Here is a 19,513-nt window from a genome sequence, read left to right as displayed (position 1 = left end):
CTTCATATAATGCCCTTCTTGAAAACTGCTAAGTGAGTAGAAGTAAAATGTTCTCACTACAAAATAACTAGGTGAGGTAATGCTTTTGTTAATTAGCTAGATTTAACCATTCCATGATGTATGTGTACTTCAAAACCTCATGTTGTTCATGATAAATACATACAATTTATGCCATTTAAAAAATAAATTTGAATAAAATACTAATTTGCTTTCTAAGCAACTTAATAACAAAGGTGAGAAATGAGGAGACAGGCATTAACATTAATGGGAATCCATCCACCCTGCCTTTCTTCATATACAAGAAATTATGCTGTCTAGGTTCACGAAAATGATTGTGCTTTATTTTTAAACCTCTGGATGTTTGATGAAGCAATGTAAATATTTGATAAGAAATCACTAAGAGAAGTCAGACACATGTGTTCTACATCTAAGTACAGATTCTTTAAATTTTCTATTCCTTAAAATTGTAATTTTGCCTTCATGGCTTATTGACTAATAGTATAAAAGAAGTAGGTATTTCAGTGTAAATACTCTATATTTCATATGAGTTACAGTTTCATAACATAAAAAATATCTTATGTTTATGGTTGGATGATTGTAGATTAACTGTGATTTCTTAAATATGCAGAATATCCATGCTTGCTGACCTTTGGTTTAGTTTAGTGATTCAACTTAATTATAGTCTACTATTTGCTAGACTTCCATCATTTATTCATTTACAAACTTAGAGCCTGGTTTTCTCTTCCTTACCTTAAATTATTAGACTCTAAGAGCAAAAAGGATACTCTAGAGGTAGCAGGATCTACCCACCCCAATTTCATCCCTACTCCCAAAGCAACAAATATTAAAATTAGCTTGTCTATAAAACACTTACACATCTTCTTAATACGTAAGTTGATTAAAATTTGCTGATTCTCATTTGACAAAAAGTAAAAAAGAAGTCTCTTAGAAGTTTAAAAACAAATGGATCAAACTTAAACCATCTCATGTGTACTTTGTCCTATAAATATATACCTTATAAATATGAACTTATATTTATAGTATTCTATATAAATATCTTATGTGCTGTAATATTATTTTATAATTATTATCTACTTACAGTAAAATTTGAGGGACTTAAAATATGTGAATACAGATGACATATCATAGGTACCTACATATTTGTTAGGTTATTGATAGTGATAGGAAGCAGCAAATTGCCAAAAAGAGGACCATTTTTTTAATGTTGTACTTTAAAACAGTGAGACAAATTATTTCACAGCACCTTAAGAAATTTGTAATAATATTTTCCAATATAATAATGACTAAACTGAGGGTTGTATTGGATTTTTATAATACTAACATATTATAGTATCCTTAACAGCTATCAATTTCATTGTTAATTACTAGTAATCTCAATTCCAGAGGAGCTAATTCTTCACTAATTCATGTGTCTTACCTTATGAGGCATCAGTGTTTCTGTTATAGATTTTCATTGTCCCAAGTTTTTAAAGGAGTGGAATAAACTACCAAATTTAATCACTCTGGGATAAACGTGTGTGTGTGTGTGTGTGTGTGTGTGTGTGTGTGTGTGTGTGAAATACAGGAATTTAAAATATTTCATATGACCATTAAACATACAGAACAAAAAGCAACTCCTATTAAATCTTGTATTGTTGTAACAGGCATCTATGTTATAGTGAACATGTCTTAGTAATTATCTCAAAATATTGAATGTGATTTAGAATACCTTCCCTTTGGGATATTGTAAGGGAATTCTCCTGAATAGAGTATATAAATGTGATGGTTAATTGTATGTGTCAACTTGACTGGGCTATAAGATGCCCAACATATGACCAACCATTTTTCTATATATGTCTGTGAGGTGTTTCTGTATGAGATTAACATTTGAATCAGGGTGGGCTCAGTGGCTCACACCTATAATCCTAGCTGAAGCAGGTGGTTTGCTTGAGCCCAGATGTTCGAGACCAGCCTGGGCAACATAGCAAATCCCCATCTCTGAAAAAAAAAAAAAATTACCCAGGTGCCCAGGTGTAGTAGCATGGCCTGTAGCCCCAGATACTCTGGAGGCTGAGGTGGGAGGATCACTCGAGCTCTAGAGGTCAAGGCTGCAATGAGTCATGATCATGTCACTCCACCTGAGAATGGGCAACAGAGCAAGACTCTCTCAAAAAAAAAAAAAAGATAAAGAATCAGTAGACCGAGTAAAGCATATTGCCCTCCCTAATGTAGGTGGACATCATCCCATCAATTGAAGACTTGAGAAGGACAAAAAAGGTTTAATAAGAGGGAATTCTCCTGCATGACTTCTTGAGCCAAGACATTGGTCTTTTTTTACTTTTGGAGTCAAGCTGAAATATTAGTTCTTCTTGGGCCTTGAGCCTCCTGGATCTTGGACTAAGAGTCAGCTCTCTTGAATCTCAGGTCTTCACACTCAGACTGGAACTACACAACTGGCCCTTCTGGATCTCTAGCTTGCTGACTACAGATCTTGGGACTTTTCAATCTATATAATTGCATGAGCCAATTCTATATATATATGGAATTGTGTGTGTGTGTGTGTGTGTGTGTGTGTGTTTACATACACACACATTAGAGTCTTAACTTTCCAGGGATTTCCAGGGATTAGTATGAATTGTGGTAAGCAAGGGGCGTGATAAGACGAAAACCTCCAAAATGCCCTGAGGAAATACCAGACAGTTTTATTCTTTTACAAATTTATTTTATTTCACTTTTAAGGGAACAGAAAATCAATAGGCCGCAATTTTTTACTGTCAGTTGTAAAATTTATCTGTACATTTGTGTTTATTCAATCTATTTCCAGAAATATTTGAAGACTCTTTAAAGATGTAAATTAAATGTTCTAGCTTTGTTAGAGCACTGATAACTCAAGAAAATAGTAAAAATTTACTAATGAGTTTGAACTTGAACACAAGTTTAATCTCCAAATGATGAAATCTCATTTAATATACAGACAAAAATTATGCAGCACACAGCTATAAGATAGTAAAATTAGCAAGTGGAAAACCCAGGTTCAAATCTTAATGTAGAAACTTCCAAGCTATGTGAATTTAGGCAAACAATTAACCCCCTACGGTATTTACAAGTAAACTATAAATAGTACTATTTTCCTTGTTTATTTGTCAGCTTGTTGAAACAGGAGAAATGAAGTTGAATTATGAATGGTAGGGGAGTACAAATCATAAGATTCTCTTTTCTTTAACAGTGGCCAGAGAACCCAATGGTCTAAGCAATTGTGATATTTTTGACCTCATAGGCTCTCTGAAGAATAATAAATTCATGCTTTATTCTTTCTGGTTTTAGGGATTGCTTCCTGTTATTTGAAAATGTATACATGTATGTAAATATATACATAAACAAATAATACAGTAAATCATTATGCCATTATGTAGTATGTTTGTTCAGCTTAAGTTAAAAAGTAACTCTTCTCTCTCCTGCAGTATTTGTATCTTTTCCCAGAAGCCAAAAATTGCCTGGAAACAGAAGCATGCTAGGAGTCTTTCGCTTTACAAATTTCTAAAACTGCTGGGACACTGATTCTCACTTTAGGTTATCCTGTGATTTATCAAAGGATTAGTTAGGTCTCCACAAAATACTGAATTTGAAGCTTGGGTAGAAAGGTCATTTACTGAATAAACTCAGTCAGTTTACATAGCTGAGTACTGAGAATTAGCAAATGCAAGTAGAGGAAAGATTAGAAAGGCCAATGTGGCAAATAACTGCTTCTCTTTAAAATTAATGTGTAGAAAACCCCCTTAGATAAAAAGCAAAATGCTGAGATGTTCAACAGCAATTTTTCTGTCTTTTTTTAAACAAGGTGAATTTAGATCAGAAAAATGAAATAAAACACAAATGGATAAAGACAGTGGGAAAAGAAGATTTTAAAATGTTTTAATTGGTGTAAAAATTTAGAATTTAAAAAAAGCAAGTCCAGGAGATTTGAGTTTTGCAGTACTTAATTTTTCAAACGTGTGGGAGATTGATATTTACAGTCTTAAACTAAAATTAATCTTTTAAGTAAACATTCAAAATTGCCCTCAAATCAGTCCAGGAATATATTATGAAGGAGATCTAATTTAACCTGCAAATGCTGTCAATGTTTGATCCTTAGCTTTGCTAGAAAGAAGTCTTACAACTTTGGTGGGGGAGTACAGTCTATAAGGTTCTCTTTTCTCCCTTGCATAATGCCTTAAACAGTTACTTGGCCTTGACAGTGATACATTTCTTGCTTTTTGTATTTTCTTAAGTATGTGTACAATATGTATCTTAGCAACTTGTTACGTTGTAGAAAATGATACTATTTATTGGTAACCTAATATTGATTAATCAATGTTAACTAAATAGAGAAGTGTAAACTTAATGACATCAGGAGGAGTTAAGTGTTTGAAAGCACAATCATATTAGGGTTACAGTTAGACCTAACTGGTTTGAAAATGGCTTTGGTTTGACATAGACTGCAGAAGAGACAAATAGTTACCACCAAACTGTAGTATCAATCTTTTCTCTAATCAAAGGGTAAGTTATCTGAAGATGGAGGGTTCCAAGACCTTATACTTACCTCTCATATTTGGTCCTGTTGTTATCCACCATTTGTTAAAGGACAAATTCTCAGGTGGATGCATAAATAAAATGTAGTTTTTTTTTTATAGCAGTGACCCAGATAAAATACAATCTTGCAGAAGTATTGAAAGAATTTTTATGTGAGGGTGTATGACATTACAGCTGTCCCTCTGTGTCAGTGGGCTCCATATCTCCAGACTGAACCAACGGCAGATCAAAAATACTGGAAAAAAATCGAAAGTAACAATACAACAAAAATAATACAAATGAAAACATACAGTATAACAAATATTTATATAGCATTTACGTTATATTCAGTATTATAAGTAATCGAGAGATGATTTTAAACATATCAGAGGATGCACATGGGTTATATCTAAATACTGTGCCATTTAATATAAAGGACTTGAGTATCCTGGATTTTGGTATCCTGGACCCAAGTCCCTAAGGATACTGAGGAACCACTGTAACTGGCTTTAATATGAAAGCTTAGGGGAATTAAATATTTATTAACTAATAATGAGAGTAACTGTTCACCAGAAGGTTACAATTGTCTAGGTACTATTGATATGATTTGGCTCTGTTTCCCCACCCAAATCTCATTTCAAATTGTAATCCCCATAATCACTACTTGTTGAGGGAGGGACATGATGGGAGGTGATTAAATCATGGGAGAGGTTTCCCTCATGCTGTTCTCATGAAGGTAAGTGAGTTCTCATGAGATCCGATGGTTTTGTTAGTGTTTGACAGTTCCTCCTTCACATACTCTCTCACCTGCCACCATATAAGATGTGTTAACTTCTGCTTCTGCCATGATTGTAAGTTTCCTGGGGCCTCCCCAGGCATGCAGAATTATGGCTCAGTTAAACCTCTTTCCTTTATAAATTATCCAGTCTCAGGTATTTCCTTATAGCAGTGTGAGAATAGACTAATATAGGAAATTGGTACCATAGACAGGGGGAAACTGCTATAAAGATAACCTGAAAATGTGGAAGCAACTTTCGAACTGGGTAAGGGGCAGCAGTTGGAACAGTTTGGAGGGCTCAGAGGAAAACAGGAAGATGTGGGACAGTTTGGAACTTCCTAGAGACTTGTTGAATGGTTTTGACCAAAATGCTGATAACGATGTGGATAATGAAGTCCAGGTTGAAGTGGTCTCAGGTGGAGATGAGAAACTTCTTGGGAACTGGAGCAAAGGTCACTCTTGCTATGCTGGTGGCAATTTGCCACTGCCCTAGATCTGTGGAACTTTGAACTTGAGAGGGATGATCTGAAATTAGAACTTATGTTTCAAACAGAAACAGGGCATAAAAGTTAGAAAATTTTGCAGTCTCACAATGAGATAGAAAAGAAAAACCCATTTCTGGGGAGAAATTCAAGCCAGCTACAGAAATTTGCATAAGTAGTGAGGAGCAGAATGTCAATACCAAGACAAAGGGGAAAATGTCTCCAGGGCATGTCAGAGATCTTGGCAGCAGTAACTCCCATCATAGGCCTGGAGGTCTAGGAGGAACAAATGGTTTCCTGGGCCAAGCCCAGGACTTGCTGCTGTGTGCAGCCTTGGGACTTGGTGCCCTGCATCCCAGCCACTCCAGCTCCAGTTGTGGCTAAAAGGGGCCAAGGTAAAGGTTCAGCCATTGCTTCAGGGGATGCAGTCCCCAAGCCTTTGTGGCTTCCACATGGTGATTGACCTGCTGGTGTACAGAAGTCAAGATTTGAGGCTTCGGAACCTCTGCCTAGATTTTGGAGGCTGTATGGGAACACCTGGATATCCAGGCAGAAGTCTGCTGCAGGGATGGAGCCCTCATGGAGAACCTCCATTAGGGCTGTGTGGAAGGGAAATTTGGGATTGGAGTCCTCACATGGAGTCCCCACTGGAGCACTGCCTAGAAGAGGGCCACCATCCTCCAGACCCCAGAATAGTAGATCCACTGACAACTTGCACCATGTGCTTGAAAAAGCCTCAGTCACTCAATGCCAGCCCATGAGGGAGCTGCCCAAGGCTGTGAGAGACCACCCTGTGCATCAGCATGCCCTGGATGTGAGACATGAGTCAAAGAAGATCATTTCAGAGCTTTAAGATTTCATGACTGCCCAACTGGGTTTCAGACTTGTATGGGGCCTGTAGCCTTGTTGTTTTGGCCAGTTTCTCCCATTTGGAATGAAAGCATTTATGCAATGCCTGTATCCCCACTGTATCTTGGAAGTAACTTTTTTTTATTATTATTATACTTTAAGTTTAGGGTACATATGCACAATGTGCAGGTTAGTTACATATGTATACATGTGACATGCTGGTGTGCTGCACCCATTAACTCATCATCTAGCATTAGGTATATCTCCCAATGCTATCCCTCCCCCCTTCCCCTACCCCACAACAGTCCCCAGAGTGTGATGTTACCGTACCTGTGTCCATGTGTTCTCATTGTTCAATTCCCACCTATAAGTGAGAATATGTGGTGTTTGGTTTTTTGTTCTTGCGATAGTTTACTGAGAATGATGATTTCCAATTTCATCCATGTCCCTACAAAGGACATGAACTCATCATTTTTTATGGCTGCATAGTATTCCATGGTGTATATGTGCCACATTTTCTTAATCCAGTCTATCATGGTTGGACATTTGGCTTGGTTCCAAGTCTTTGCTATTGTGAACAGTGCCGCAATAAACATACGTGTGCATGTGTCTTTATAGCAGCATGATTTATCGTCCTTTGGGTATATTCCCAGTAATGGGATGGCTGGGTCAAATGGTATTTCTAGTTCTAGATCCCTGAGGAATCACCACACTGACTTCCACAATGGTTGAACTAGTTTACAGTCCCACCAACAGTGTAAAAGTGTTCCTATTTCTCCACATCCTCTCCAGTAGCTGTTGTTTCCTGACTTTTTAATGATTGCCATTCTAACTGGTGTGAGATGATATCTCATTGTGGTTTAGATTTGCATTTCTCTGATGGCCAGTGATGGTGAGCATTTTTTCATGTGTTTTTTGGCTGCATAAATGTCTTCTTTTGAGAAGTTTCTGTTCGTGTCCTTTGTCCACTTTTTGATGGGGCTCTTTGTTTTTTTCTTGTAAATTTGTTTAAGTTCATTGTAGATTCTGGATATTAGCCCTTTGTCAGATGAGTAGGTTGCGAAAATTTTCTCCCATTTTGTGCGTTGCCGGTTCACTCTGATGGTAGTTTCTTTTGCTGTGCAGAAGCTCTTGAGTTTAATTAGATCCCATTTGTCAATTTTGGCTTCTGTTGCCATTGCTTTTGGTGTTTTAGACATGAAATCCTTGCCCGTGCCTATGTCCTGAATGGTAATGCCTGTGTTTTCTTCTAGGGTTTTTATGGTTTTAGGTCTAACGTTTAAGTCTTTAATCCATCTTGAATTAATTTTTGTATAAGGTGTAAGGAAGGGATCCAGTTTCAGCTTTCTACATATGGCTAGCCAGTTTTCCCAGCACCATTTATTAAATAGGGAATCCTTTCCCCATTGCTTGTTTTTCTCAGGTTTGTCAAAGATCAGATAGTTGTAGATATGTGGCTTTATTTCTGAGGGCTCTGTTCTGTTCCATTGATCTATATCTCTGTTTTGGTACCAGTACCATGCTGTTTTGGTTACTGTAGCCTTGTAGTATAGTTTGAAGTCAGGTAGCATGATGCCTCCAGCTTTGTTCTTTTGGTTTAGGTTTGACTTGGCGATGTGGGCTCTTTTTTGGTTCCATATGAACTTGAAAGTAGTTTTTTCCAATTCTGTGAAGAAAGTCATTGGTAGCTTGATGGGGATGGCATTGAATCTATAAATTACCTTGGGCAGTATGGCCATTTTCATGATATTGATTCTTCCTACCCATGAGCATGGAATGTTCTTCCATTTGTTTGTATCCTCTTTTATTTAATTGAGCAGTGGTTTGTAGTTCTCCTTGAAGAGGTCCTTCATGTCCCTTATAAGGTGGATTTCTAGGTATTTTATTCTCTTTGAAGCAATTGTGAATGGGAGTTCACTCATGATTTGGCTCTCTGTTTGTCTGTTATTGATGTATAAGAATGCTTTTGATTTTTGTACATTGATTTTGTATCCTGAGACTTTGCTGATGTTGATACACTGCTAGCAAGACTAATAAAGAAAAAAAGAGAGAAGAATCAAATAGACACAATAAAAAATGATAAAGGGGATATCACCACCAATCCCACAGAAATACAAACTACCATCAGAGAATACTACAAACACCTCTACACAAATAAACTTGAAAATCCAGAAGAAATGGATAAATTCCTTGACGCATACACTCTCCCAAGACTAAACCAGGAAGAAGTTGAATCTCTGAATAGACCAATAACAGGAGTTGAAATTGTGGCAATAATCCATAGCTTACCAACCAAAAAGAGTCCAGGACCAGATGGATTCACAGCCAAATTCTACCAGAGGTACAAGGAGGAACTGGTACCATTCCTTCTGAAACTATTCCAATCAATAGAAAAAGAAGGAATCCTCCCTAACTCATTTTATGAGGCCACCATCATCCTGATACCAAAGCCGGGCAGAGACACAACCAAAAAAGAGAATTTTAGACCAATATCCTTGATGAACATTGATGCAAAAATCCTCAATAAAATACTGGCAAACCGAATCCAGCAGCACATCAAAAAGCTTATCCACTATGATCAAGTGAGCTTCATCCCTCGGATGCAAGTCTGGTTCAATATAGGCAAATCAATAAATGTAATCCAGCATATAAACAGAACCAAAGACAAAAACCACATGATTATCTCAATAGATGCAGAAAAGGCCTTTGACAAAATTCAACAACTCTTCATGCTAAAAACTCTCAATAAATTAGGTATTGATGGGACGTATCTCAAAATAATAAGAGCTATCTGTGACAAACCCACAGCCAATATCATACTGAATGGGCAAAAACTGGAAGCATTCCCTTTGAAAACTGGCACAAGACAGGGATGCCCTCTCTCACCACTCCTATTCAACATAGTGTTGGAAGTTCTGGCCAGGGCAATTAGGCAGGAGAAGGAAATAAAGGGTATTCAATTAGGAAAAGAGGAAGTCAAATTGTCCCTGTTTGCAGACAACATGATTCTATATCTAGAAAACTCCATTGTTTCAGCCCAAAATCTCCTTAAGCTGATAAGCAACTTCAGCAAAGTCTCAGGAAGTAACTATTACATTTGTGCAAAAGTAACAATCACTAACTTGCACAAACTCCTAGACAGAAGGGCATTGCCTTGTCTCAGATGAGACTTAGGACTTGGACTTTTGGGTTAATGCTGGAATGAGTTAAGGTTTTGGGAGACTGTCAGGGAGGCATGATTGGTTTTGAAATGTAAAAAGGATGTGAGATTTGGGGGGAGGTAGGGGCAGAATATGGTTTGGCTCTGCGTCTTCACCCAAATCTCCTCTCAAATTGTAATTCCCATTATCCCCATGTGTTTTGGGAGGGACCTGGTGGGAAGTTATTGGACCATGGGGGTGGTTTCCCCCATGCTTTTCTCATGATAGTGAGTTTTCACAAGATCTGATAGTTTTATAAGTGTTTGACAGTTCCACCTTCACATGTGCTCTCTCGCCTGCCACCTTGTAAGATATGCCTGCTTTCCCTCTGCCATGACTGTAAGTTTCCTGAGGCCTCCCCAGCCATGCATAACTGTGAGTCAATTAAACCTCTTTCCTTTTTAAAATAACCCAGTCTTGGGTATTTATTTTCATTTTATTTATTTATTTTTGAGACAGATTCTCACTCTGTCCCCCAGGCTGGAGTGTAGCGGCATGATCTTGGCCCACTGAAACCTCTGCCTCCTGAGCTCAAGCCATTCTCCTGCTTAGCCTCCCAATTAGCTGGGATTACAGGTGCCCACCACCATGCCGGGCTAATTTTTGTATTTTTAGTAAAGACTAGGTTTCACCATGTTGGTCAGGCTGGTCTTGTACACCTGACCACAAGTGATCCACCCACCTCGGCCTCCCAAAGTGCTAGGATTATAGGCGTAAGCCACTATGCCTGGCCTCTGGTATTTATAGCAGTATAAGAATGGACTGATACAACTATGTACCCCAATAATAAAGCCTCAAAATTAAATTAAAAAGTAACAAAATAGCAAGGAGAAATTGAAAGTCATAATGATAGCCATAGAGTTTTGACACAAGTCTCTCAGAAAAACAAAAAACAAACAAAAAAAGTTACACCAGAAAAACATTTGCATTTGAAACAAATAATTAAAATTTAATCTAATAGCTATATCTAGAATCTGACCCCCAACTGTCTAACAATACATATTCTTTCACATATATTGACCACCTAAGCAAATGGAAACATCCAAATAATCATTAACATACAGATCGCATTGTGTTGATAACTATTTATAATTATCAAAGATGAAAATGCTACATAACTAGATTTATGGAATATAACTAATTTAGTATTTTGGCATACACATTAGAAAAAAATATAAAGTTAATGAACCAATGATTTAACCTGAGAAGTCAAAACAGAGAAAACCCAAAGACAATAGAATAAGTGAAAAAATTGATTAAATACAAATCAAAGAAGCAATAGGGAAGACTAACAAAGGCAAAAGCAGCATTCTTGAAAGGGCTTTTTTAAAAATATGACAAGATGAATAAAGACAGATGAAACATAATAGAAATTTTAAAAAATAAAAGTTTAAACAGTATAAAATTAATATTTTTATACCATTATACTTGAAAGTTTAGAGATATTAGACCATGTTTTACAAAAGCATAATTGGCCAATATTAATTCAAAAATGGATATTCCAAATGAACTTGTAACCATTACACAAACTGAATCAGTATTATAAAAATCTGCCCATTAAAAAATATCAGACTCTGATGGTTTTACAAATTTTTACCAAGGCTTCAAAGGCTAGATAATCTTCACTTTAGACAAACAATTCTAAAAGAAGGAAAAATGGATAAAAGAGGAGAAAGTACTCCAGCTCATTTTATGATGCTACTAAAATTCTATCATCAAAAAGAGTATTAGAAAGGCAAATTATAGTGTAATCAGACTTGTGAATATAAATGAAATTCATTAGCATGTTGAATCTAGCAATGTATATTTAGTGTGATATTTTAGATATCTTTAGCCCATTGATAAATATTTAGTCATCTGGAGAAGGAAATTACCACTTATAGAATATCTAGTATAACCAGGCATTGTGCTGGATGGATACTTTATCTATATTAGCTAACTTAGCTAAAATCCTGAGGTTTTATAGTTGATTTTTTTTTTACTCTTTGGCAAAAGAACTACAATATCATCATGAATACCTTGATTAAACATCTGATCACAAAAATAAGAAATGAAATGGCCTACAAACAAAGTTTTCAAGGGGCGAATTTGTTAGCCAACCAGGGAAAATCACTTCATTTACTGATAGCAAGTTTATTAAATCACATTTTACTGCAAAAGCTAAATAATTGTGTCCAGAAAAATAAGCCTTCTTAAGACTTTTAGCATTATGGCAAGAACAGTGCTTGAAAGCTTGAGGAAATTGAAATATTGCTAATATGAATAGTCAATTAACAAACAAGGTAACTCTAGTTTGAAGTAGTTTTCCTTGCCTCTTGAGTTGAGATGGTACTAATACTACTCTGTTGTTGCTTATTGGAGGAGTCAATGATAAGTTTGAAGTGATGAATAATTAGCCTCTATGAATAGTAAGTGTGGAACACCTATAGGTGAGAATATTTTCAAAGTTGCAAAAAAACTAATTCAATACAATCCGAAGTGGAACTAAGAGGTGTGAAGCACAAAGAGGGTTATTTGGACATATTTACAAAGTTTGTTAAAACATAAAGCATATGGTTATTCCTTGAAAGAGCCATTAGCAGTTGTATTGTGGAAAACACTTCAGTATTTCATTCATGGTTAAAACAGTGCTATCACCTTTAAACTTCATTTGTTCTCATCAATTAACCATGTTCATTACTGTGAAATTTTGTCAGAATAGAATCTGAATATACTGAGTTGTCCTACCACACAGCAGTTGGATGGCTTCCTGGTAAAGTTTTATTACAATTTTTTTTCCAGATCAGGGCTAATATTAAATTTTTTCTGAATAAGAACTGCCCTCAGACACTATCAGTAAACACTCAATGGTTTTGGAAATTAATTTTTGCTGCAGAATTGGCAATGTTTCTTGTTGAATTCGATCTGAAATTACAAGATAAAACAATACTTATATGCAAAGCTTATGCTGTGGTAAAGTTATTTTGATGATGGCCAATACTGTTTGAATCACAGTAATAGAAAACTGCTTATAAGCTTCTTGTCCTATCAGAAGTTAAAAGAAGAAGTAAAATCTCCATTCCCAAGCAGATTTGCGTGGATATATTTTCTGAGCACATACCACAGACTCAGCAATATTTTAGTACATTGATGCAAACGCAAAGTAAATTCTTATATTTCACATTCCTTTTCACTGTTCAGTTGAGGAGCTTCCAGTTTAAACTTTAATAGGAAGTAATTAATCTGCAGTGTATTGACCTAATAAAAGGTAACTATCAGGAGAAGGATCTAATAGAATTCTATAATGACTTTTAAGTGATGAATATGCTCAATTAAAATAATATGGTTGTGACTTGATAAAAGTATTTGAAAAAAATTTATAAAAAGACATTTTCAAAGATGAAACACTTAAAATATCACTACAAATCTTCATTAATAGATGAACATTTGCAGTTGATTTTGATGAAAAGGAACACTAACGGTGAAGCTCAATTAAGAAAAAAGCTTTTTACTCTCCTCAGTAGTAGACCTTTATTTAAAAACAAAGACTCAATTGTTATAGTTTGAATTTTGTCCATGAGAATGTTGTAATCTGCTTTCTCTCTTTTTGTATAAGTACCTGCATATTATTAATATCTGCAATTCTGCCTCATGGCTTAAGATGACTAAAATATTTACTACCTTGTTCTTTGTTTAAAAATTTCACCAACCCCTGTAGTAAAGAATTAATTTAAAATGTTCTTCACTTATTTAAATTGTTGAATTAATTGCCAGTTATCCAGACATTTCATAGTCTATTGCTTGGGAGTGGAGGTCCTAGCTGAAGAAGAGAATGTAGGAGAAGGCTGTATGAAGCTAGGAATTATTTTATATTCAACTCAGGACTCATGGTAATATTTAGTGGTAAAGCAAACATGATTATTTAGGAAATGGACAATAACTTATTTTTCTCTATCAGCAATGGTTCATGTGGAAATCACTGTACTCAAGCAATTACATTTTTATAATTTTATATGACTTTTATGGCAATAATAATATTTCCATATATTAGAGGTTACTTTACTTGAATAAGTCACATTAAACCATCGTGGTTTTTGTCTAACTAGTTTTGTTTTAACCATAACTAGTGCTATTAATAACATCACTTATTTCCTATTTCTTAATTATTGGCTATAGAAAGAATCTGGCACTTCTCATTTATTGATTCTACAAATACAAACATCCATCAGTCACTGATTATTATTGAGGCTTCCTTTGTGCCAGGCACCAACACATCTCCACAGAATGATACGGTAAATGAGACACAAAGCGTGCCTGCGTTTATGGGCCTTGCATTCTTACCTTCAGTCTAATTTTTGATAAATAAAAATGTATGCCATAGTCTTTCAAAGAGAATTTACACTGCAAAAACAAAACTTTGTCCTAAGGGGCCCTACTACCTAAGGATAAATGACACTAAAATATGACCATAAAAATAAGTCTATTTAAAACAACAACCAAAAATGCACCATAAACGGGAGAAGTATTCAACTGATAACTTAATTTGAAAAAGAAAATGAAGAAAAAGAAAATGAAGAAGTAAAATGAAAATATACATTTTCATTTAACTGAAATTTATTTATAACTTAAATATCCCTCAAACCTCAAAAAATGAATCAATAATTCGTTTTGGTGTGTGGAGCTTAATTTTTCAAACAGCATTGTATGTTAGCATGAAATATCTTTTGTCTCTTATATTTTCAGAATGATCATAAAGCAGGTTCGCATCACTTTGGTAAAAATGTGGGCACTTGGATAAGTGTGGGCCTAGCAAGTTGCCTTGGTATGTGCCTTTAACCTTGGATATCAAAATCCTTTCTCTTGAAGTATCTTTTGTGTCACTCTCCTTGGTCATTTCCTTGTTAACTGGTCCAGCTTTTCCAGAGCCGTGCTTCTCAGTAGCCTTGTGTGAGATTTTAGCAGGTCTCCAAGAATACTTTCCTAGACTTAATTAAATGTAGCATCTTTATAACATTTGAATTTTTACTTGTAATTGATATGCATTCTAATCAGATCATATTGTTGGGGATAATGAAGCCAAACCAGTCAAGTATGGGATTCACTCAATGAGGCAGAAATGAATGGTAGCAACCATCAGTGAGGGCCATTTGGTCCCTAGTGAAATATCTTGTTTATTTGCAAATATTTTTATTTTAGCTTGATTCCTTGCTCAACCCCATAGTAGTGAAGACATGGATAACAAACACTCAGCTAAAGGACTCCTTATGGTTTTGGTTTATGCACTCTATCCTGATCCTGCAGATCTGAAAAAAGCCAAGATAATGATGTCAACTTTCTTTCAGACAAAGAATAATAATAACTTGGGAGATGTGAATAGCCTCTAAATGGCAGAGCTTTCTCTAGACTATGCCTGTGCTAACAAAGGTCTGAAGGAAAGTGAAAGCTAGGTCTTGGTTTGGAAGCTTAGAACACTGAGCCAGCGGTAGGGTGTAATTCAAAAACTGCCGATTAGAATAAAATCAATCTCCCTCACTTTAGAAAGAACTGGAGCCCTAGCCTCAACCCTTTCTCAATTTTACTTAAGGATGCCAATCAACTTGGATTGACAGCAAAAACCATCAAAATGTTACACCTTGTAATGAAATAATGACAGTCAGCCAACCAGATACTAGATAACTACATAGCTGAGAGGAAAACCCTTTCAATATCTGTTATAAATATCTGTCCTTGTACTGGGCTTCTTAAATATAAAGAAAAACAAAACTTAAAGTGGGTTCATCTGGAGACCACTACTCCTGTTATAATGCCTTTTTAATCCACTCAGAATTTTCCAAATAAACTCAATGATGTTAATGATTTGCCTCAACACAGGTTCAGTAACTTCTGTTTGCAAATGTGACATCGCACATCTCTCTTCCAGCTTGTCGTGTCAGTCTCATGATTTTGTAAATAGCAGAACAAATGGAACCTAAGTCCTGCTAGAAAAATCAAAGCTTTGAAAGGCCACTACAGAAGTGGAAATACATTTCTCTCAGATGTCAGAGTTCTTGTGTGCTAGTCTTGTCTCTGCTCTAATTAAATTCAAGTGAAGCTATTTCCCTCTCATGGGACATCTGTCTCCTCTGTGGAGGTAGAGGGTGGAGGGGGTTGGGTCTTGACCTATCTCCATCATGCTTCAAGGAGAACCAAAAGGATAAAATAACATCTCTTGTTTTAGTTCATGAAACGAATACCATTATCTGAAAATTTACGCATGTTTAGGAAAAGTCTGTTAAAACATTTTCAAGTTATAGAATCATTACAGTTTTGGAACACATGTTTAGTTATGTGCTTAGTACTGTTTTATTCAAGGATTTAAATTTAATACTGCAAATTTAATAACTACAGTAAATGCTTAATGTCAGCTAAGAAGTATAAAAGTGAACACTTAAAGAATAATTGAAAGAAGTATCTTCTCAACACAAATGACTGAATAAAAGATTTTAAATAACTTTATAAATACTTTTTAAGTAAAAATTTACAAAATGTTGTCAAAAAGCATACCCACCAGATGGCTTAAATATGTAAGAAAAAAAGGTTTCGGCACATGAATGTGTTTTGTGCAAATAAATACAGAGATGACATTAAATTCCTAAACACGTAAGTCAGTATTCCAAATGTCTAGGTTCTCTGTGGTATTGTTTGCAGTAATCACTTATTGCACTTCTAAAGCAAATTCCAATGTAATATGTCAACACTTTTAATACTAATCAACATGGTAAACAACATCTGCCTGAAATGAAAAATAATAATAATAAAATACTTAAGTCAAGTCCTGGTTGTGCCACTTAAACGTTGTCAAACTCTAAACATATTCCTGAAGTCCTTTAGTCCTTAGTTTCCTTTTTGCTAAGTTGACTAGTTTGTACTCTAAAGTCATTAGCATCACAGTTTTTTTAAATTGCAAATTGATGCGGTCTAAGATATCTGTTAATGAATGTAACAAATGAAAAATGTTTGTAATTCCCATCATGTTATGCTACTATGAGAAGCGTCTACAACATATGGAAGACAGATTTAAAATTGAATTTTTCAAAAAACACATGTTCCAAGAAAGTTTTCACCATCTCTCTACAGCAAGAGGTGATTTCCAGAGGCTGATTTCGGCATCTGAGAGAAGACCGAAGAGAAGCCACTCGGTTACCATTACATTGCTCATTAATCTTTCTGAGAGTAGATGTATTTGATTAAAGAGATCACTAGCTTCTTGTGGAAGAATTCATTAATTCATTCAACTATAATTTATTGAATGCTCACATCCAAGATGCTGGAACAAATAATATTTATGTCTAATTTTGTGATGATTTTCTTTCTAGGACCCACTGATCTCAGCATGAAGAGACAATTGGCGACTAGCTCAGGATCCTCCAGCAGCTCAAACTCCAGACCCCAGCTGAGTCCAACTGAAATCAATGCCGTGAGACAGCTTGTTGCAGGATATCGAGAATCAGCTGCATTTTTATTGCGATCTGCAGATGAACTGGAAAATCTCATTTTACAACAGAACTGAGACAGACGACCACCATATTCACTGAGGTCTAAATTTGCAGTTTCCACTAATGACATTTTGATTTCCCAACAGAGATACTTCTGGTCTTACTGCACAGTCTTTTAAGAGAAATACTTCCATTATGCCACATTGTCCTTGATCCGTAAGTGATGTGTTAAGGTGCTTCAAAGGAACTCTGACCTCTGAAGTACTTGAGCTACTTTAGTATGTCCAGCCTATTGCTTTTTGTTTTAGTGTGTCACCATAAATATCAGGGGCATAAAAGGCTATCTATTCTTAATTCAAGGATAAAACAGAAGAAGCTTGTGGTATAAAACAATAGTTCAAGATCCAGCTGAAATATTAGTGGAATTTGCTACTGACTCATTGGACTGAAAGCTGAAGTACCTGGCAAAAAAAAAAAAAAGAAAAAAAAAAGCCAAATTTCTTGTTGCTACAGGATATAACAACAATGAAAAGGATCTCGTATTTTAAAAAAATATGTAATTTTTATAAAAAGAAAACTTGTTTTTCATTCAAACTTGTCATTTTTACTTTGGTAACTTTTTCATAGGTCCTAAAAGAAAACTGTTTTGAGAAACTACTGTAAGTACCTTTTCCACATCCCTTTGCCTTCTCCTCTTTCCAAATTCTTTCTACAAAAATAACACTTGATGCTGGAAAAACCCTTGCCTACGTTCTTTCAATCGTCACATCAGGAACTACTTCCAAGAGAAGCCTGCATTTCTGCTCTCATGCTGATCTCAAAAACCCCACTCAACACTGCAACTTTATCATAGCAGTTTTCATCCCAGAATTTTTTTTTTAATAATGACAAGACATGTTGTTGAAAAAAAATCACACCTTGGTTTCTTAGAGCTGCTCGTTCCTGATTGCCGCTGCTGTCTCCAGGCATCCCTCTAGCAGCACCTGGATGTAGATGACTGAATGTTAAGAGGTTGCAAGTGACAATCTGAAAATTTGCACTCTTGTGTGTAGTTTTCTTTTCATTTCTTTCAGAAATAGTTTCCAAAAAGACCATTACATCTCCTGATATGATTTGTATAATTTTCAGTTCTAGCTAAAAATAATGTAAGGAACTCTCAGCGGATGCAGCTGCAACTTACAATGAACTGTGCCCTCCTATCCCCCATACTTTACCCTTCTTTCTTATTTTATAGTGTGGGATACACATGAGTGATGTTTTCTTTGTGCACTGAGACAAGCCTATTTTTTAAATATTTAGGGAGAAGTACTTTAGTTCATGCTTCTTATACAACTTTTTTCTGTTGTTTAGCTTTGGTTGGATTACAAATTCTTTGTGCATTCCTGAATTTGCCTTATTTCATGTAAAATTTATGTCATTCAGTTTTTGACAATGAGTTTGAGGCATCAGTGATATTTCTTATCTACTTGTTACATATAGTTTTTCAAGTAATGACTGTGATTGTGACCGAGTAATGTGCACTTTTTCTTGTAACTGTGGACATTGCTATGCTTTTTTCTTCTAGTGTTTCTAGAATTACTGTTCCTTACAATTATGTAAACAAAAAACAAAAAAAAAACTTTTGTGATACTGTTGGTGAATATAATGTGAAAAATCTTATTGAAATATGAGTATTTTGGAAATACATAGCTGCACAAACATCTTTTAAGATGTGGATTTAGAGTTTGCTTATTTAAATGAAAATTCAAAAATTGAGGGCTGGTATAATTTTCTCTGTTTTGTTTGGTTTAATAAACAGATTTCTGTGTTAAAAGAATGATTGTCAAACCTTATAAACTTTCTGAAGGGTATAATGCTTAATTTTTAGCCATTTACTTTTAAAATCTAAAACGCCATTTTCTACCTACGTTTAGCACAAAATTGGCACTTCAAATTTATTTCTCAAGAATATCCTAAGATCCCCCAGGGTCTCAACATTCATTCTAATAAAGAATTTATTCCAAGAATGGGTAAGGAAATTAGGAAGCCAAGACTACTTCATTTGATTATTCAAATATGAATAGAGAATATTTTTGTATATTTTATTACTTTTTTTTTTCAGGAGTAACCTGTTATTTTTTAGTTCTTCCCGATTTAACATCTTGGATGAAACACATGCCTGTTTTAAGTGCATGTTTTATACTTTGCCTTTTGCTGTAATAG

General features: G+C 35.3%; 1 protein-coding gene across 30 annotated transcripts in view; it reads left to right on the top strand.

The window, feature by feature from the left end:
• Positions 1 to 19,127, top strand: part of NOL4 (nucleolar protein 4) — a 373,814-nt gene extending 354,687 nt beyond the window's left edge. For all 30 annotated transcript variants that reach the window (XM_047437902.1, XM_047437901.1, NM_001384470.1 and 27 more), the window contains one exon: positions 17,192 to 19,127. In XM_047437902.1, the coding sequence (XP_047293858.1) occupies positions 17,192 to 17,385 (194 nt within the window). In that variant the 3' untranslated portion in view covers positions 17,386 to 19,127. The remainder of the gene's footprint in view (positions 1 to 17,191) is intronic.
• The last annotated feature ends 386 nt before the right edge of the window (positions 19,128 to 19,513 follow it).

This window comes from Homo sapiens, chromosome 18, assembly GCF_000001405.40.
Source record: "Homo sapiens chromosome 18, GRCh38.p14 Primary Assembly".
Lineage (NCBI taxonomy): Eukaryota > Metazoa > Chordata > Mammalia > Primates > Hominidae > Homo > Homo sapiens.
Note: the sequence above shows the minus strand (reverse complement) of the source record. Positions and strands in the feature narration are given on the sequence as shown.